The following is a 20,421-nucleotide window of genomic DNA, read 5'->3' as shown; positions in this document are numbered from 1 at the left end:
ACGTCAGCCAGTGAAGGGTCTGAGCATGGGAAGAACCAGAGGGGCATTTAGACGGAGGGTAAAGTGAGCTAAGCTGTCTGCACTGGAGTATCCAGCTCTATCTCAGCTAAGGATAACATGCCAAGAGCTGCCATCTGTCAATGGCCCTGGGTATATGGCCCCACAAGAAACCCATGTGGAGGAGGAAGAGGTTAACTGGGGTGGGGGAACCCAGTGATTTCTAGGCTTTGGGGCCAGAAATCCTGTCCTTGACCTCAAGGACAGGGCTGGACTTAGTCCCCACTCTCAGTGGAAAATGCCTCCCCACACCTCCTGCCTGGCAATTTCCAAGTCACTCTTCAAGTGTGGCCTGCAGCAGATAGCTAGTTGTCCCCTAATATGTATTACTTCATTTGTATACAGTTGTAGAATGATGGTCTGGTCACACGGTCAGCCAGCTAAGCTTCCCAGCCTCCATTCACGTAGGTGTGGTCACATGACTGAATTCTGCTCCATGCGATACAAGCGGAGGTGAAATGCACTTTCCATGCCATGTCTCCATGTTGTCATGGAGAAGTAGCATGCCGACCCCCTTCTTTTTTGCCTTTCCTCCTCGCTGCTGGCCAGAGCGTGGCAGGATGGTGGAGGCCGGAGCAGCATCCTGGACCACAAGACAGGAGCTGCGTGTGGCAGCGGAGAGGACAGAGCCACAAGCTGGAAGGAGCCTCAGCAGAGCCACCATATGAGCTTGCACTTCTATGAGAGCAGAAATTAGCCTCTGGTTTTGTTTTTGTCTGTTTGTTTTTTTGACAGAGTCTTGCTCTGTCGCTAGGCTGGAGTGCAGTGGCGCAATTTTGGCTCACTGCAACCTCCACCTCCTGGGTTCAAGCAATTCTCCTGCCTCAGACTCCCAACTAGCTGGGACTACAGGCGCGCACCACCACGTCCGGCTAATTTTTGTATTTTTAGTAGAGACGGGGTTTCACCATGTTGGCCAGGATGGTCTTGAACTCCTGACCTCATGATCCGCCCACCTCAGCCTCCCAAAGTGCTGGGATTACAGGCGTAAGCCATAGTGCCTGGCCGAGCCTCTGTTGTGTCAAGGCCACTGCTGTTTCAGGTCAGCTGTAGGAGCTGGCCGAGTGAAGTGCCTGAGAGCCACTTATCCTTGGGTTCAATCCCAAGCGCCCACACTTCCTGGGGGTATGACCTCGCCAAGTCACTTAACGTGTCTGTAACTCAGGTTATTCAACTAGAAAATGTGAGTAGTAAAAATACGCACCACCAGCTGTTGTGAGAATCACATTAGTGAATTCTACATGAAGTGTTTGGATTTGCACAGAGCTCGCATTTGGCAGCAGTAACGATTACTGCAGCTGAACCTAGAGTCTGTGCGGAACACAGGCCCACCTTAAATACCACCTTAAATACCACCTCTCTCTAGGGTGGCCCTGAGCAGGCCCGTGTGGAGCTACTTCCTAGAGCCCCACTCAAGACCTTCGCTGAGCTGAGTTGAACAGAAACGAATGTTCCTCACAGAAATACACGGGAGAGGTTAGATAAATGTTTTGTCCACAGTGGACGATTACAGCTGAAGGGTACTTGTGGCCCAAGGAGTGTATCTTTAAAAAAGAAACGTGACTCTTTAAGGTAGCCACTCTTTATACGTGAATGACGGGAACAAGGGTGTGTTCCTCATTATCGACTTCCTGTATTAAATTGTGTGAAATAGTCTCCCGTGGGTTGATTTGTATAGACTTCATTCATATATTTTTTCCTGATAACAAAATGAGAAAAAAAAAAGGTCAGCAAATGTGTATACTTCCTATTCTTTCTTTTTTTTTTTTTTGAAAAGGCACACAAACTTTTTATTAGTGTGTTATCCCCAAAATACAGAATACGTTTCATACCTAATGAGCCCCCCAAAATGATCCATCTCAACCGCTCCTCAGCGGCGAGGGTCACTTTTTAATTACACTGCAGTTAGATTAGGGACTTACACCAGTAACATTTGGGGACATAAGAAAATTAAATCTCCGTGGGTGTTCACCCTGTTTGATTTCTCAGATCATTCTTTTCTTGTTTTTAGAGACAACATCTCTCTCTGCCACCCAGGGTGGAGTGCAGTGGTGCGATCATTGCTCACTGCAGCCTCCAGCCCCTGGGCTCAGGCCATCCTCCTGCCTCAGCCTCCCCAGTAGCTGGGATTTCAACTGTGTGCCACCATGCCTGGCTAATTTTTGTCTTTTTAGTTTAGTTTTATTTTAGTTTCACCATGTTGGCCAGTCTGGTCTCAAACTCCTGACCTCATAATCCGCCCGCCTCAGCCTCCCAAAGTGCTGGGATTACAGGCGTGAGCCACCGAGCCCAGCCCTCAGATCACTCTTAATGCTCCTTTTAGGCCTTCAGCAGAAGTGATAACAGATGGACCCACAAGCAACCAGATATCGGATTGGAGAAAATATTCCTGGGTCCCCCCTGAGTTTAAGCCAAGAGCTAGATAAATAAGTAAATAAATACTGTGTTTTTCAGGTGCAAGTTCACCTGTTTGCTTGCATTTGACATCTTCTTGTAGCTGGAGCTCTGAACTCTTGGAGTCCTGTCTATAACCAAGAGACTCCAGGCTTTTCTGGGGCAGCCCAGGAGCCCCTCTCTCTACCTGGAAAGCCGTCCCTGAATAGGCAGTGCCATCCTCCTCCTGGGTCTCACCAATGAAGCCTCCTCCAGGAAGCCTTCCTGACTCCCCCAGCAGACTCAGTGCTCTTCCCTGGGGCTTTCCGGTGCCCTCCACCCATGCACCCCGTGTGGACAGCAGTGACCTGTGGCCCATGGGTCTGTCAACCCAAGCCAGCCCACTTGAGGTCCACAGTGTCCAGATGAGGACCACCAGGGCGGGGTGTTTCCCCTCCTGCCCCCTCCTCGTCCTTGACCTCCACAGCCCCGCGGTCCCTCCACCCGGTCCCCCACCTGGCCCTGGTCCCACCCAGCACTCACTGCAAATGCTGCTCCTTGGCCAGGCTGAGGTTGCTGCTGTCCAGAGCTCTGCGCAGGTCGCGCTGCCGCCGCCACTGCTGCCGCTCAAACAGCAGGGTGGCGCGAGCCCCCTGAATCCTCCGCCGGTCCCAGTCCAGGTCTCGCTGGCGCTTTTCTTCCTGGAGCCTCTGGAAGGAAAAGAGGCGGCTCACCACCACCTTTCCCCAGAGCCAAAGAACCCCAGGGGATTATCTAGGAGGCCTGGCCTCTCATTCTACAGATGGGGAAACTGAGGCTCAGAGGACGAGCAGGTAGGTGACCGATGTCATGCAGGAAGCCAGAGGAGACCCCCAGCCTGCCCTCATTCCATGTGGCCCAGCTGCCCTCCCCCGTCAGGAGGTGCTGGCCGTCCTCCTTCTCCTAAAGGCACAGCAGGGACTCAATTCCTACAGCAGCCTCCACTCCCAGCTCCGGGGTGCAGGGCTCCCAGGTGCAGGCTGGGCCCAGAGTCTTCCTTCTCAGGTCCTCAGGGGGCTCCCTGGCTCAGTCAGCTGTCAGATGCCACCTCCATGAGCCATGGCCGGCTGCCCCACAGCTGAACGCAGATCACCTGGGCAGCTTCCAGAACATGCAGACACCACAGCCTCACCCGGTGACAGGAAGGTTATGGTCCTAGAGGGGCACCCCAACCCCTGAGTTGCTATGTTTCAGCTCATTCCTCACTGCCCTCCTCACTGTGAAAACTCTGGAGCCCTGGAAGAGGAAGCTGGATTTGTGTGGAGGAAGGGGTACTTCCCCGTGTGTTGTCAGCTTTGTTAGGGCTGAAGACGAGTCCCCTTTGCCCACGTTTGCCATTTTTAGGGCAGAGCCTCCTCCCGCCAAATAAGCAAGGATGTGTCCGGTGAGTGGCACGGGGGTCTGGGCGGCCCCATCCTGGGACTGAAGGCAGGCTGGCGGGCTTTGTCACCCACGAGGCAAGTCACCCTGCTCTCATGAACCTCAGTGTCCCCCGCTGTAAAGCCAGGCTGCTCTCAGGAGCCCAGGGTCATCACACAAGCTGCTTGGTGGCAAACAGGGAATGGCATGGGACACACTCACCCGGGCTAAGAGCAAAGCAGACAGCCCAGCTGTTTGAGGTGAGATCTCAACTTTCCCAGTTACCTCCAAGCATAGAAAAGGGGATGGAGGCAAGGACCCAGAAAGGAAGCGGGCAGTAGTTCTGAGTGGGGAGGTTTCATGTGTGTTTTTCCCCCTTTGTGCTTTTCTGTCTTCTTAATTTTCTACAAAAAATGAAAACTAGACAGCAATACTGCTTTCAGGATGGCCGGCCGATCTCCTGTGCCAGATGGTCCAGGCAGAGCGGCAGTCCTGAAGCACAGAGCAGGGCCCTGGACCCCCATTCCAGCCCCGGCGCCCTTTCCACCTTGGACTACTTCCTGAACTTCACGCCCCCTGCCTGCCCAGGTCCCGGCCCCACTGCAGCCTCCCACACATGTGCACCTCTGGCCTGCAGGGAAGCAGGTGGACGAGCTGCCCCACCCACTCCTCATGCCCTGGTCCACGCCACCGCCACTGTCCCTCCTCCTCCCCAGACCCACCAGATCAGAAGCTTACACCAACTATGGCACCTGCCACCCCAGCCTGGCCTCTTCCACCCACTCTTTGCAGGTTTGAGACCCTCTCCAGATCTCTCCTGCCAGGATTCTCAGTGGTTTCAGCACACACAGAGACAGCCCTCTCTTGTCCCCAGCTGCTCAGCTCTCCTGCCTCCTCTCCAAAGATCTAGTCCCGGCTTCACCTTCTCACCCACTGGGCACACCCTACCAGTGGTTCTCAAACTTGAGTAGGCATCAGAATCCCCTGGGGGCTTTCGAAACCACAGACTGCAGGCCCCACCCGGCCGATGCTGTGGGTCCGGAGACCCTCCCTTTGGGACCCTCCACCCTTCCGTTGTCATTACCAATAACAGTCTCACTGCTCTAACCTGTCTCTTCCACTCTCTCTCCAAGTCCCTGATTCCAATGATTATGCCCCCCGCAAAGTGTGACCTCCAGTCTGCTGGCCGCCACTTTTCCAATCTCTCTCTGGCCCCCTGGTTCGTCTCATGGCAGATGCTCCCAGGCCAATACCCTCGGCCCCCTGAGTCCTTCACTTGATCAGGCAGGCGGTGACCACAATGAATCTGGCTAAGCATGGTGGGGGACACCCTGACAGTGCTCTCTGGGGTGACCCAGACTATGGGGTGACCCAGACCTATGGGGTGACCCAGTCATCTGACTATGACCCCCTAGTGGGCCCTGGGCACTGTCTGACCATCCTGTCCCCTTCCTCCAGGCTGTTCCCTCTCCAGCTCTTCTAGATGACCACTTAGCACTAACTCCCCCCGGCCCTGCTCAGTTCTACTTCTAAAAGGTAGAAAATGACGGTCACTTCAGTGGTCCTGAGCCACAGCCCCCAGTACAGATCAACTCAGGTCTCAATTCTGTTCACCCGCAAGCTCCCGCCCTGATGCCCCTTCCCGTGACTCCAGTGATGGCTCTGAGCTCCCAGAGGCCACACCAAGCCCTCAACTAGCACTCCATGTCCCTCGCTCTCCTGCAGCCCAGGGACACGGCTCCAGCAAGTCTCTCCTCTGGCATCAATTTCCCCCTCTACTGCATCACTCCGGCTGAATGACAAGCATGCTGTTATTTCTACAATCAAGACAAACAAAAACTTTCCCTTCACCTCATGGCCCCCACCAGCTCCTACTCCATTTCTCTGCACCCTTTACAGCAAACGCCTTGTAAGTGCTGTCTGCATGTGCCATCTCCATTCGTTTCCTGCCTGTTCTCTCTTGAGCCCATTAGGCTGGCAGCCCCACTCCTCTGCCAAACATGCTCCTTCCTGACAGGGTCCCTGGTGACTGCCATGGTGCTGGATCCAGCGTTTAGCCTGAGCATGGCAGCAGCGTTTGACCCAGGGGTTCCCCTCTCCTTCCCTCCCAAACACCTTTCCTCACTTGGCCTCCAGGAAACCACGGCTTGCATCTGTCCACCTCCCTGGCGGCCCCTTCTCAGATGCCTTTGCTCTTTATCAACAGTGGTGGTGAGAAGGGGGGTGCTGGGGAGGTGGGAGCAGGACTCAGTCCTCAGCTTTAAATACTCTCTGTAGGGCCGGGCATGGTGGCTCACGCCTGTAATCCCGGCACTATGGGAGGCTGAGGTGGGTGGATCACTTGAGACCAGGAGTTTGAGACCAGCCTGGCCAACATGACGATACCCTACCTCTACAAAAAATACAAAAAGCAGCTGGGTGTGGTGGTGCATGCCTGTAATCCCAACTACTGGGGAGGCTGAGGCAGGAGAATCGCTTGAACTCAGGAGGCAGAGGTTGCAGTGGGCCGAGACTGCATGACTGCACTCCAGCCAGGGTGATAGAGTGAGACTGTCTCAAAATACATGCATACATTCTCTCTGTAGGTGACGACTCACATTTATGCCTCTGGCCCAGACCTTGTTCTGAGCCCTATGTTACATATCCAGCTGCCTCCTGGGCTTTAATTGGAGATTGTGGCAGAAAATACTACTTGTCTCCCAGTAACCATTTTTCGTTCTTCTTTAGTAAAACAATCACCAGCACTTCACTGTCTGGAATAAACGCATTTCCTTGACTTCTTTAGAGTTAGGGGCAACCTTGTGACTAAGTGTTGTCCAGTGAAATGTAAGTGGAAATCTCCTTAGAGTGTTCTCCATTCCTCCTTCCTGGTAGCTGGACTATGCATGTGATGGCTGGTGCTCAAGCAGCCATCTTGCACTAAGAAGTGAGAGCCAGGAGCCAAGGATAGCAGGACATCAGTCAATGACCACAGAGCTGCCATACCAGCCCTGGACTGTTTTCCTGAGGATTTAGTCTACTTGCAAGAGAGAAAGTTCTATTTTGTTTAAGATGCTGTTATGTGTGGTTTTCTGCCACATTCAGGCAAATGTAATCCTAATAGATACAGATATCTAATGGACTTTGCACACTTGACGTATCCAAAATTGTAACTCTGATTTCCACCCCTCCCCACCCACCAACCTGCTCCTCCCACCACCTTCCCCATCTCTGGAAATGCCAATTCCATCCCTCTAGTTGCTCAGGCCACAGGACCTAGAGTCGCCTTTAACTCCTCTCTTTCACACGTCCCCACCCAATCATGCATCCAATCCTGTCGACTCTACCTTCAAAACAGATCCAGAATCTGACCATTGCTCAGCACCCCCACTGCCTGCCCCGTGGTCCCAGCCAGCATCACCTCTCGCTGTGAACACTGCAAAGGCCTTCCTGGAGATCTCCTTCCTTCCCCCTCAGCCCCTAGTGTCTGCCCTCAATCCAGGGGGATCACGCTGGGGATCCTGTTCAACCTAAGTCAGATCCTGTCACTTCTCTGTCCAAAACCCTGCAGAGTTCCCCGTCTCCGTCACAGAAGAAGCCAAAGTCCTCCCCAGTGGACTGCCAGGACCTCGACCGTCTGCCTCTGAGGCCTCCGTACCTGCCCCTCTCCTCACTCCACTCTAGTCACCAGGCTCCACGCCCTTCTCTGAGCAGGTCTGGCAGGGTCCTGCCTCAAGGCCTTTGCCCTTGCAGCTCACCCTGCCCGGTCGCCCTTTTCCCAGGTAGACACATGGCTCCCTCCCTACCCTCTTTTGGGTCTTTGCTTCAATGTCTTCCCATTCTACTGTCCTCTATCTTGGCACTCCTACTCCTAATGCCACATCATACGGGTGTGACACTATCTGGCTCTTGTCTCCCACCGACTAGAAGGGAAACTCCTTGAGGGCAGGTGCTAGGGCAGAGCACAAGGCCTGCTACAACTACATTTGTGCCTGGAAGGCAGTGGGAGCAAAGAGCCTGGCTCTATGGGCTCTGGAAAAAGGGGCGGGGCAGTCACCAGCTTCTCCTGGATTTGCTGCTTCTGGACTAGGCGGATCTGCTCCAGCTGCTCCTGGGTCATGCCCTTCCAGCGGTCAGGGACCACGCGGTGGGGCCCGAAGGAGCTGGCTGCCTGCTGCGGGTTCTCGGAGAGCAGGTCCCCACGCAGGAGGTTGGTGATCTCGGCCAAGTTGTCCTCTTGTTCTTGCTTTTTCTCTTGCTTTTTCCTTTCCACTGACTCGATGGCCTAAGCAGGTGAAGACATTAAAGAAGATGGTCCGAGTGACCCCAGGGGCATTCTGACACCCAGGCCAGCAAATCTCACTGGGGGCCCTCGAGGGGAGGATATGCTAAGGGCAGCAGGAGTCGGGTGGAGGGGAGACTTGTCAGGCACGGATGTGGGTGGGTCCTTGAACCCCTGGCTGCCTGCGCACTGCTGGGCGGGTGGGCTGGACTCGGGGGATCACCACCTGTTGGGTGTATGCATAAGAGCTCCGGGTCTTGCACCAACTTACCAAGGCAGGGAACTCCCTCCTTGGATTAGGCCGACACCCCGCGTGGGCCTGGTCCCACCCAAGGCAGGGCTCTATGCCCCTGGCAACCCTTGGACATCTGTGGGCTGCAAAGAACGCTCAACAGAGTGATTGACAACAGTGGTAGAAAATGCACTGTCACTTCAGTGGTCCTGAGCTGCAGCCCCCAGTACAAAGTAATTCCAGGTCTCATTTCTGTTTGATTCCCTGGGGGTTCCCTGGCTATGTGGCCTATACCAAGTCACCTCCCCTCTCTGGGCTGCAGTCATTTCTCTGTAAAGTCAGGAGATGGCTTAGGAGACATGTACTTGGGTTTACAGTTGTCCTCAGTAACACATGGACAGGGCAGTTTGCAAGGAGCCGGCCTCCCACATGTGCTCACCAGAGGCCAGCTTGATTGAGTCACACAGTACAAGCTTTGTAGTTAGACAGGCCCAACTTCAATACCGGACTTGCCACTGAGTACTCCCTAAGGAAGTCAGCTCATCCTTCCAAGCCCCTACACCCGTTTTTTTTTGTTTGTTTGTTTGTTTGTTTTTTTGAGACGGAGTCTCGCTCTGTCACCCAGGCTGGAGTGCAGTGGCACAATCTCGGCTCACTGCAACCTCTGCCTCCCAGGTTCAAGTGATTCAACACTGTTCTTACTTTGGGAGGCCAAAGTGGGCAAATCACAAGGTCAGGAGTTCAAGACCAGCCTGGCCAACATGGTGAAACCCCATCTTTACTAAAAATAGAAAAATTAGCTGGGCGTGGTGGTAGAGGCCTGTAATCCCAGCTACTTGGGAGGCTGAGGCAGGAGAATGGTGTGAACCCGGGAGGCAGAGCTTGTAGTGAGCCAAGATCGCGCCACTACACACTCCAGGCTGGGCAAGAGAACAAGACTCCACCTCAAAAAAAAAAAAAAAAAAGAAAAAAGAAATGTGAGCAGAGGTGGCAGTACTGCTCCTGGGAGGAAGCCTGCGGGGACTAGCCACATTCCTTCCCTCCTCCTGCAGGGATCCTCTGGCTGGCGGTCGCTCCATCCCAGGACCTGGGCTCCAAAGTGAGGATGCCAAGGAACAGGCCTCACAGCCTGTCCATGGCGGGCAGGGAGCATGCATGGAACATCAACTTTCTGTTTAAGCCACTGAGACTGCTGCTTCTTATCCCAGCAAGGGTTAGCACATTCTGACCGACACAGGAGGGTGTTGTCGCTTCCTCATTCTGCAGATGATCAAATGGACGCAGTGGGTGGCCTGCCCAAGGCTGCAGGGCAGAGCCTGGTCTGCACCCCGTGTGGTCGGGCTCCAGAGCCTGCGTGCCACACCCTGATGCCACAATGCCTCTCTGACGAAATGAGCCCCGACCCAAGAACTGGAGGCCCTCACGTGTGTCCTTCCTGTTGAACTGGACCGGCCTGCTTGGGCTTTGGATTAACATCCCAGGTTAATTAAAAAGCCTAGTTGTAGTTAGTAGCAGAGCTGCAGAAGCCAGAGGGCGGCTTTTCCCAGTGCAGGAGTGTTTGCAATGGTGCTGCCTCGTGGCATCCACGTGAGGAGCCGGGGGTCTGAGAAAACCAGGCAGGCTGTGGATGCCCATTAAACATCTTCTAGAATATATGAATGAATAAATTGATGAATGAGACAATAGGGTTTAGCAAAAGCCACTCCAATGCCCAGCAGGAAGGGCTCAATAAACATTGGTTGAATTGATGAATGAATGAGTGAATTATCATCATCATCATCACCATCGCTTCCATAAATGAATGAGCAGATCACCAGCCAACAGTGGACTAATTGTCAAGGGCCCCACATCCTGCCATTCACTTGCAGTGGGGACTGGAGCAAACAGCCTCCCCTCTTTGGTCGCCCTCTGTAAAATGAAGGGCAGGGATGGATGATCTCTAAGACCTTTGCAGCTCACTGGGTGGTGAGCTCGGACTTCAGGTGTCTTGCTTTGCCTTTTGGTCCTCCCCAGCCCCCGCAGTTGGCTCTCCTCATTCCTCTCCCCCGTGTTGAAAACCCACATTCTCTGGTGTCTGGTCCAGCCTCTCTGGGATTTTTGACTGCCTGCCTCCACCAGGACAGTTTTGAGCTTGTATCTCCAATATATTTAGTTCACAGCATGGTACTACTATACCTTAATGATAGCACATGCTTATAACTACACATGTACATGGAAATCAAAAGTGATGAGGTTAAAAATGAATATAAAGCAGGGCTCTGGTATCTGCTCTCCCACAGATCCTGCACAGCCTTCTTTGGGGACCATAGTTCTAGTTGACGAGCGAACCTGATCAATGAACCCAGGCAAAGTCCCCACCCACCAGAAAACAGAATTGCATTCGAAAAGAAAACCTTGTGGGGGGAGGGAGAGGCAGGGGGGCGAGCTCTAATTTCCAAAACGAAAAGAGGGCCAGATGTGGTAATCCCAGCACTTTGGGAGGCTGAGGCGGGAGGACTGCTTGAGCTCAGGAGTTTGAGACCAGCCTGGGCAACATGGCAAAACCCTGTGTCTACAAAAAAATACAAAAATTAGCTGGGCATGGTGGCGCGTGACTGTAGTCCCAGCTACTTGGATGGCTCAGGTGGGGGGATCATCTGAGCCTGGGAGGTCGAGGCTGCGGTGAGCCATGATCGTGCCACTACACTTCAGCCTGGGTGATGGAGTGAGACCCTGTCTCAAAAACAAACAAACAAAAAAACCAAAGAAACAAAAAGAAGAACCTATTTCAGCAATTTCAGCATCAGGTTGGAGGGGAGGGGAGTGTGTGGGAGGAGGGGGGCCAGAGTTTAGAGAGGAGGTGGGAGGTCTCAGGAGGCCCCAGTGTTCGAGCTCATTATGATCTTCTTCATCATCCCTGCCATCGGTGAGCATCCAAGTAGCTGTTCTCAGTAAAGGGGAAGTCTGAGAGGTGGGAAGAATGGAAACCAGCACCAGGCAGTGGAGCAGAGCTAGGCGGTAACAGTCTAGGTGGATGTCACCATCCTCATGTTACAGAAGAAGAAACCGAGGTGTAGAAAGGTGAGCTGACTTCCCCAGGTTACATGGCTAGTTTGGCAGGTTTCCCTCCAAGATTCAGAGCTAAGGCACAGGACTGGGTCTCATCCATCTCTGTCATCAGGCAGCCCATCAGGGTCTCTGTCAGGGCCGGTCATGTGACCAGGGAGCAGGCTGAGACTGGGATCCCAGGGAAGCCGGAGAGCCTTGGGAAGCCGTAGTGGGCTCATCCTCCCCTCCAGTCGTCGAGCCCGAGGTCGCGGAGTACCTATACCTGGCTCTTGTTGAAGTCTTTCACAGATGCACAAACTGCCTTTCTGGTGGTGCTTTCCAGCTTCTGGAGGTGCTTGGCTGTCTCGTCAAACTGCAGCCTTGTCTCTGTGTAGAGGGCCTCTGAAAGGAGGCAAGAAGCAATCAGATCGACCTGGCCACAGGAGCACCTTCCCACGTGTGGCCGTTCGTGCCTTTGCCTCCTACCACGTCCTTAGCCATGAGCATGAGGACGGGAACAATAATGACAGGACCTGCCTCTGAAGGCTGTGGGAGAGTCAAGCTCCCAGATGAGTGCTAGTGATCACTACTATGCTGGGGTCCTGGGACAGGCTGGTGGTGTGCCCCTTGCTGTCCTGCTCTATCCTGAGGCAGCTACATCCTTACAGTGGGCAAGAGATACTCTACAGCCCCAAGAAATGACGTTTGAGACCTGCAGGACAAAAGAAGTGGGTTGGGAGCAGGTGCAGAGGTTTTGGGAAAGGATTCAGGGGAATCCAGAAGTGAAAGAGCAAGAAACCAGACAGGACTCTATGGAGGAAGTGGGGCCAGATGACAGATACTGTGGAGTGGCAGGAGGACTTGGTCAGGCCAATGAGTAAGAGAAAGAGGAAGAGTAGGAGGTGAAGGGGTCAAGGTAGAAGGTCCAAAAGCAAAATGTGAAGATTTGGAGTCAGAGGAGGCTCACATCCCAGCCCAGACATTTCCGAGCTCTGTTAACCTCAACTATTACTTAGCCTTGCTGAGCCTGTGTCCTTACCTGTGAAGCAGGACATACCTCCTTTGCAGAATAATAACATTATTATTATTAATAATACTATTATTATTATTAATAATACTATTATTAATAATACTATTATTATTATTAATATTATTAATAATACTATTATTATTATTAATAATACTATTATTAATAATAATAATTAATTAGACATCCAAGTGCATTAGACATCCAAGAGAAGTTAGATGAATTTATGAGTCTGGATTCAGGGAAGAGTCCAGGCTGGAGGTATAAACCTGGGAAATGATGGCCTATAGGTGGCATTTAAATAATAATTAATTATTTAATTATTATTATTAATAATAGTATTAATAATAATAATAGTATTATTATTATTTGACATGGAGTCTCGCTCTGTTGCCCAGGCTGGAGTGCAGTGGTGCATCTTGGCTCACTGCAACCTCTGCCTCCTGGGTTCCAGCAATTCTCCTGCCTCAGCCTCCGGGGTAGCTGAGATTACAGGCGCGCACCACCACGCCCAGCTAATTTTGTATTTTCAGTAGAGACAGGGTTTCACCATGTTGGCCAGGCTGGTCTTGAACTCCTAACCTCGTGATTTGCCCACTTTGGCCTCCCAAAGTAAGAACAGTGTTGAATCACTTGAACCTGGGAGGCAGAGGTTGGCCAGGCTGGTCTCAAACTCCTGACCTCAGGGGATCCACCCACCTCGGCCTCCCAAAGTGCTGGGATTACAGGTGTGAACCACTGCACCTGGCCAAACTCCACATTGTTTAAAAGTATCACTGACTGCTGTTTTGGGAATGGACCAGAGAGGGGCAAGAAAGGAAGTGGAGGCCATCAGAAAGATCTTGGCAGAGGTCTGTTCAGCTGAGATGGTGGCTTGCATCACAAGGGTGACAGCAGGGATGGGGACAAGCGGACAGTTCAAAATATATGCAGGAGGTAGAAGGGACAAGAGTCAGAGATGGCCTGGAGTCAGGGGTGGGTCATGGATGATTCCCTAGACTTCTGGTTTAAGGGCAGGAGGTACCAGTTAGTTGGAGGAGAAAGATGGAAAAAGGAGCAGATGCAGAAGAGGATCCAGGGCTGCTTTCCGACATGTTGTGAAGGGTCCTGTGAGATGTCAAGGAGACTGCTGAAGAACCAAGTCCACAGCTGAAACAAAGCCTTTTGGCCAGAGGTGGAAATTTAGACCACTTGGGAGATGGATGAACCATACAACACGTCAGTGATCAAGGCTATGGAGAAAAATTAAGCAACAGGATACGGAATGTGGGGTGGGAGGAGGGTACAGGGTTTAAAATAGGGGGGTCAGGGGAAGCCTCACTGATAAGATAGCACTTTAGCACAGCCCTGGAGGAGAGTGGTGATCCCTACAGATATCTGGGGAAAGACATTTCTAAGCAGAGGGAACAGCACATGCAAAGGCCCTGAGGCAGAAGTGAGCCTGATATACTCACGTCTGAAAACAGCAAGATAGTGTGGAAAGAATGGAGTGAGAGGGCAGCATAGCAGGAGATAAGGCCAGACTGTGAAGGCGTTGTAGGTCTCTGAAAAAAATCGTTTACTCTGAGTGAAATGTTTACTCTGTAGGATAAGGGGAGAGACCCAAAGAGCAGCTGAGAGATGCTTTTTGTTTGTTTGTTTCAGATGGAGTCTCACTCTCACCCAGGGTGGAGTGCAGTGGCACAATCTCAGCTCACTGCAAGCTCCGCCTCCCGGGTTCACGCCATTTTCCTGCCTCAGCCTCCCGAGTAGCTGGGACTACAGGCACCCGCCACCACTCCCGGCTAATTTTTTGTATTTTTAGTAGAGATGGGGTTTCACCGTGTTAGCCAGGATGGTCTTGATCTCCTGACCTCGTGATCTGCCCGCCTCAGCCTCCCAAAGTGCTGGGATTACAGGCATGAGCCACTGTGCCCGGTCTTTTTTTTTTTTGAGACAGGGTTTCACTCTGCTGGCCAGGCTGGAGGGCGGTGGCACAATCACGGCTCACTGTAGCCTTGACCTTCCAGGCTCAGTGATCCTCCTGCCTCAGCCTCCTGAGTAGCTGGGACTACATGGGCACGACACCATGCCCAGCTAACTTTTTAATTTTTTGTAGAGATGAGGTCTCACTTTGTTGCCCGGGCTGGCCTTGATCTCTTGGCTTCAAGTGATCTTTCCTCCTCAGCCTCCCAAAATGCCGAGATTACAGGCATGAGCCACTGCGCCCAGCCGAGAGATGCTGATAGCCTTAGTTCAGAATGGGAATGTTGGAGGGTGTGGAAAGTAGCTGAAAAATGGAGAGAAAGGAAGGAGTCAAGATTACCTGGGCTGGGGCCTGGGCAGCTAGAAGAAAGGAGCTGTCACGGATGTGGGTAGAAGGTCAGGTCTGCAGGGAAGAACAGAGTTATTGGACTCGTGCTGATCTTGACAAGTGCATTAGACATCCAAGAGAAGTTAGATGAATTTATGAGTCTGGATTCAGGGAAGAGTCCAGGCTGGAGGTATAAACCTGGGAAATGATGGCCTATAGGTGGCATTTAAAGCCATGAGACCGGACAAGATCACTCGGGTGAGTTTAGCTGGTAGAGGAGAGCACTGGTGTGAACAACATCCAGAGGTTGAGCAGATGAGAAACCAACAAAGGACCTGGATGGGAAGGGAGCTAATGTGAGAGTGGTGTTCTGAAAGCTGAATTGCATGCGCATTTCCAGGAGCAGGAGGTGATCGACTGTTAGGTCCAGATGAAGGTCAAAAACCGACCTTGGATTGGGCGACATGGAGGTCACTGGTGAGGTTGGCCAGGGCAGTTCCAGTGGAGCAGGGAGGGCATAAATCTGGTAGGAGTGGGAGAAGAATGGGAGAAGATGATCTGGGGAGACATCACTCATGGAGAGTAGACTGGGGAGAGAAGAGGCTTGGAGGAGGATGGGCCGAGCAAGGAGACTGCAAACTAACAAGCAGAGAGGAGGCGCTCAAGAAGGCGGAGTGCATTCCTCTCTGTGCCTGGTCCCTGTTTTGTCTTCCTCATAGCTCCTCACTATTCCATCACCCGCTGACACACCCCAAGAGAGCAGGGATGTTGTCGTCTTCGTTACCCGGTCTTTCCGGCACAGAAGTGGCTGGGCGGGTCAGTGCTGCTCGAGTGCAGGCATGAAGAGGAGCTGGGAGAGCAGAATGCTGCTGACCTCAGTGAGGACACATGGGGCTTTCTGCAGTTCCCTCAATGAGAGGCTGTTTCATGCCTTGGAGCCTTTGCCCAAGAGGTTCCCTGGGCTTGGGGAGTCCTGGTGAGGGCATGTGACCACCATGCCTGCAACTACACCCCCAAAGTCCCCTGTAGGAATTTCTACCACAGCACCCAAGAGACTCAGGAAGACCTGCATCTTTCCCATTCACCTTCCCCGCAGACTGGGAGGGCAGGGACCGATTCTGAGTTACCTCTGCACGCCGGCATCCAACTGGGACCCCGACACGGAAAGTGTTTTCCACATGACTGAGGTGTCATTGCAGGTGTTTCCCTCCTGGAGGGCAGGCTCTGACTTTTCTTTCCCCACAGGGCCAAAGTAGCATGTGGCTGTCTGTGCACATTGGTAGGACTTTAAACAAATCCCACAAAAACTGTAGGGTTGCTTAAAAAAAAAAAAAAACTGTAGGGTTGCTTAAAAAAAAAAAAAAACTGTAGGGTTGGTTTGTTGAAGAGAGCGTTGAGACCAGCTCGTCTCTTCTGTTTCATTACCTGCGCATTTTTGTTCAGCACGGGCGTTCTTCCATTCCCTTTGCTGCTGCAAAGACCATTCTCTGTTTTGTTCCTCTTGGAATTTCTTCCTCTCATGGAAGTTTAAATCCTCTCCCATGAATTTCTGCATTCCTGATATCGTATTCCGAACATCATTATCTGACTGCCGGGCTGGAAGATCTTTCTTAAGGGCTAGGGGGTCGGACAGATCAAATTCACGGCGAGTTTCTGGCTTCTGAAAGCTCTGTTGGAAGTCATTGATAGCCCTACAGAGATTTTTCCTATCCCTCTTTTTCCGGTTTTCCAATATGCACATGATTTTGTCATTTTGCCTCATTTCAGCAGCTGGAAGAGATACAGCATATCCATAAGCTTAGGATTCAGAGGAAAAAATAAATTTGAATCCATTTTATTTTTTATTATTTACTTTTTTAGAGATAGGGCCTCATTATGTTGCCTGGGCTGGTCTCCTGGCCTCCAACCATCTTTCTGCCTCAGCCTCCTGAGTCACTGGGATTATAGAAGTGAGCCACTGAACCCAGCCCATGAATCTACTTTAAAAACTAATTTTTTCAGTGATTGCAAAAGTAATACAACCCTCCAAAAAAGTAACACAGCCATTAAAGGATTAGTATCCTGAATATACAAAGAGTACCTACAAATCAATTAAAAAAACCCCAAAACCCCAACCCAATAAATGGGCAAAGTGTAGGAACGGCCAGGCAGATCACTATAAAGAAACCTGAGGCTGGGTGTGGTGGCTCACACCTGTAATCCCAACACTTTGGGAGCCCGAGGTGGGCGGATCACCTGAGATCAGGAGTATAAGACCAGCCTGACCAACATGGTGAAACCCTGTCTCTACTAAAAATTCAAAATTAGCCGGGCGTGGTGGCAGGAGCCTGTAGTCCCAGCTACTCGGGAGGCTGAGGCAAAAGAATCGCTTGAACCCAGGAGGCAGAGGTTGCTACGAGCCAAGATCACGCCGCTGCATTCCAGGCTGGGTTACAGAATGAGACTCTGTCTCAAAAAAAAAAAAAAAAAAAACCTGAGTAATCAATACAATTATGAAAGGATGATCACCCATACAAGGTGGGAAACATCCAATGAATCGAAGGCAAAATATTTAAAATGCTAATAATGGCACACATTAGTAAGGATGTGGGGAAACAAGATCTCTCATTTGCGGCCAGGCATGGTGGCTCACGCCTGTAATCCCAGCACTTTGGGAGGCCGAGGTGGGCGGATCACAAGGTCAAGAGATAGAGCTTATCCTGGCCAAGATGGTGAAACCCCGTCTCTACTAAAAATACAAAAATTAGCTGGGCTTGGTGGCACGTGCCTATAGTCACAGCTACTTGGGAGGCTGAGGCAGGAGAATCGCTTGAACCCGGGAGGCAGAGGTTGCAGTGAGCCGAGATCGCTCCACTGAACTCCAGCCTGGTGACAGAGCAAGACTCCATCTCAAAAACAAAACAAAACAAAACAAAAACCTCTCATTTGCTGCTTGTAGGAGTGTAACTTGGTACACTTACAACGAAACAATTTTTCAATATCCCATAAAACTACCTTTGATCCATCAATTCCACTTCTAGTTATCCCTTTCACATGTGCTAGGGACACAATTCTTGGACAGTCATTGCAGCAGTGTCCACAATGACAAAACAACTGAAAAAAAAAAATCTAAACCAGCCATCAGTATGGGAATGGATGAAGAAACTGTAGTTAATTCATATAACAAAATGCCATAAAACAATTAAAATGAATACTCTCTATATGTAAATCACTGATTAATTTCAAAAATACAAGCCTGGATGAAAGAAAAGCATACTGCAAATGGATCTATTCAATAGGATACCATTTACATAAATTTTAAAAACACATAAAAACAATTTTATATTGTTATGAATACATACATAAATAGTACAAGCATAAATAGTGCGTGGGGGCTGGGCCTGGTGGCTCATGCCTGTAATCCCAACACTTTGGGAGGCAGAGGCGGGAAGATCACCTGAGGTCAGGAGTTCGAGACCAGCCTGGCCAACATGGTGAAACCTCGTCTCTACTAAAAATACAAAAATCAGCCCAGCATGGTGGTGTGCACCTGTAATCCCAGCTACTCGGGAAGCTGAGACAGGAGAATTGCTTGAACCCAGGAGGCGGAGGTTGCGGTGAGCTGAGATCGCGCCACAGCTCTCCAGCCTGGAAGACAGAGCAAGACTCCATCTCAAAAGAAAATAGAAAAAAAAGCATGGGAATGATAAACACTTCTGAGGAGAAAGGAGGGGAAAATTAAGAGGTAGGGGGCAGGGCAGTGTTGTTATATATATATATATATATATACACATATATAAAAAACACAATTCTCAAAAAACACTGAAGATATCTGAAGCCAATCTGGCAAAATGTTAACATCTAGTCTGATGGTGGGTACATATGTACCTGTCACATTGTTTTTGTAAGATTGAATTACCTCATAACTAAAAATATTAATAAAAAAGATAAAATGTTTAGAACATACAGAACAGTATAAAGGAGAAAATAAAGTTTACTCATAATTCTATCCCTCCAACATTACCCTGCTAACATTTTGGCATATTTCCTCTCTTCTTCTTCTGAGCATATTTTAAAATATTTTAAAAACATAACAGCCCATTGTATGTACAATTTTGTATCCTGCTTTTTTTTCTATTATAAAAATCTTTATGGTGTTTAAAAACACTGAAATTTCTTTTTTTTTTTTTTTTCAATTTATTTTTTGTAGAGATGGGGTCTCGCTTTGTTGCCCAGGCAAGTCTGGAGCTCCTGGTCTCAAGTGATCCTCTAGTTTTAGCCTCTCAAAGTGTGAAATTTCAACAATTGTTGAAATTGTTGGACACGATAGGGGAAAATAAGTTGTATTTGAAGTGGAATAATAATACCTTGAATAACAGTATTCAAGGTACTTGAATACTATGATTTGAATCATGTCTGTCTCTGAGTCAGCTTGAGGGTGTGAGCCCGGACATATGTGTTGTCTGGTATAAACAGCTGTCCTTCATAGACGGTCTTAAACTTTTGAGCAGAGCAAGTGAGTGTGTGTGTGTGTCTTTCTGTGTTTAAGGCTTTTCCTATCCAGTTTTTTAAGAAAATGAAGGAAAACATACATATACCCTTAAAATCTATTTCTTATAATCCACATTCGAATTCAATAGCTGTTTTTAAGAGAAGAATCAGTGCATTAAGTTAACTGGGCACAAGAAATTGTGAAATTTAAAAGGAAGAAGAGTGTGAAAATGACAACTTTTTATATATGTGAAGAAAGGAGGGCTGGGTACCGTGGCTCATGCCTGTAGTTCCAGCACTTTGGGAGACTGACGTGGGAGGATCACTTGCACGCAGGAGTTCCAGACCAGCCTGGGCAACATAGTGAGACCCTATCTCTATTAAATAAAAAAAATAAAAAATAAAAAAAAAAAGGCGGGGCAGGGGGACGGTGGGGAAGACTGGAGTCTAAAGCCACACAATCCTAAACCAATAGATAAGCATTCAGGAAATGCTCACCAAAGGTTTCATGTCTAGCTTTTTCAGTAGCTTCTTTTATCTTCTGGTCATGAACTTGAACATCCCAGGCTTCAGTGTCTCCCTATAAATGGAAAAACAGAGGAGAAGGGTTAGAGCCAGATCATTTTATTCAGTAATAACAATCCTACTTATTATTATTTTTAATCTCTGCCCCACTGTAAACGAGTTGTAGAAAATCTGGCTCAGGGGAGGAGAACCGTTGGTGACTCCAGGCGAGCTCGAGAGGGAGCATTATTGGCCCTGCAGGAGGCCGTTTGCTGCCTCCTGGCTCAGATGTTTCATCCTAGAACTCATCTCCTTTCCCCCTCCACGCAGCCCCTCGCCCGCATCTGCCGCTCTAACCCCGTCCCGGCCCCTGCCCTTTCACCCCAATTATCCTGTTTCTGGCGTTGAAGACCCGCTTCTGCCTGCACAGCTCCGCGTGCCTCCTCTTTGCCAGGTTGGCGTCCTGCCGCAAGTCCCTGGGCAGCGCCACCGCCATGGTCTGGGAACCCATGGAAAGCCTAAGGGGTTTTTAGAACACGCAGGATCAGGAGAACAGGCGACGAAAATAAGGAAGCTGTAGCGCAGGCAAGGTCGGCTCCTTCGGTCGGGCAGGGGAAAGACAAGCCTTTAGCGCAGTTTTCCGTCGGGCTCCCAGTGACGCCGCAGAGGTACAGACGCTCCCGCTCTCTCGGAAATGTCAACAACTCGTTGCTAAGGAACGGCTCCGCGCTTGCCGCGTCTCGCTCTCTTCTCGCGACACTTGGCGAATCCCTTCCCGC

At 50.5% G+C, this 20,421-nt stretch overlaps 1 protein-coding gene across 4 annotated transcripts, besides 1 other annotated feature; it reads right to left on the bottom strand.

Annotated features, from left to right (window-relative positions):
* Window positions 1-1,530: 1,530 nt before the first annotated feature.
* RIBC2 (RIB43A domain with coiled-coils 2) lies at window positions 1,531-20,347 on the bottom strand. 4 transcript variants are annotated; one of them, NM_015653.5, is made up of 7 exons: window positions 20,025-20,347; window positions 19,637-19,718; window positions 16,094-16,438; window positions 11,632-11,750; window positions 7,865-8,092; window positions 2,974-3,140; window positions 1,531-1,756 (listed from the first exon to the last, which is right to left on the bottom strand). In NM_015653.5, exons 1-7 carry the CDS (start codon window positions 20,151-20,153, stop codon window positions 1,678-1,680), a joined length of 1,149 nt encoding a protein of 382 aa, NP_056468.3. In that variant the 5' UTR covers window positions 20,154-20,347; the 3' UTR covers window positions 1,531-1,677. The 4 variants fall into 4 exon arrangements, with proteins under 4 accessions (NP_056468.3, XP_005261581.1, XP_011528428.1 ...); XM_005261524.5 differs by lacking the exon at window positions 20,025-20,347 and adding an exon at window positions 19,814-19,962; XM_011530126.3 differs by lacking the exons at window positions 16,094-16,438; window positions 19,637-19,718; window positions 20,025-20,347 and adding an exon at window positions 15,796-16,076.
* Window positions 19,525-20,358: an enhancer, noted in NCBI's record as "H3K27ac-H3K4me1 hESC enhancer chr22:45809563-45810395 (GRCh37/hg19 assembly coordinates)". NCBI's record gives its function as "activates a minimal SCP1, AML or CMV promoter by ChIP-STARR-seq in naive H9 embryonic stem cells {active_cell/tissue: H9 hESC(naive)}" and the evidence as "EXISTENCE:reporter gene assay evidence [ECO:0000049][PMID:30033119]".

Source organism: Homo sapiens, chromosome 22 (genome assembly GCF_000001405.40).
Source record: "Homo sapiens chromosome 22, GRCh38.p14 Primary Assembly".
NCBI lineage: Eukaryota > Metazoa > Chordata > Mammalia > Primates > Hominidae > Homo > Homo sapiens.
The sequence above is the reverse complement of the archived record's forward strand: the minus strand, read 5'-3'. Positions and strand labels throughout refer to the sequence as shown.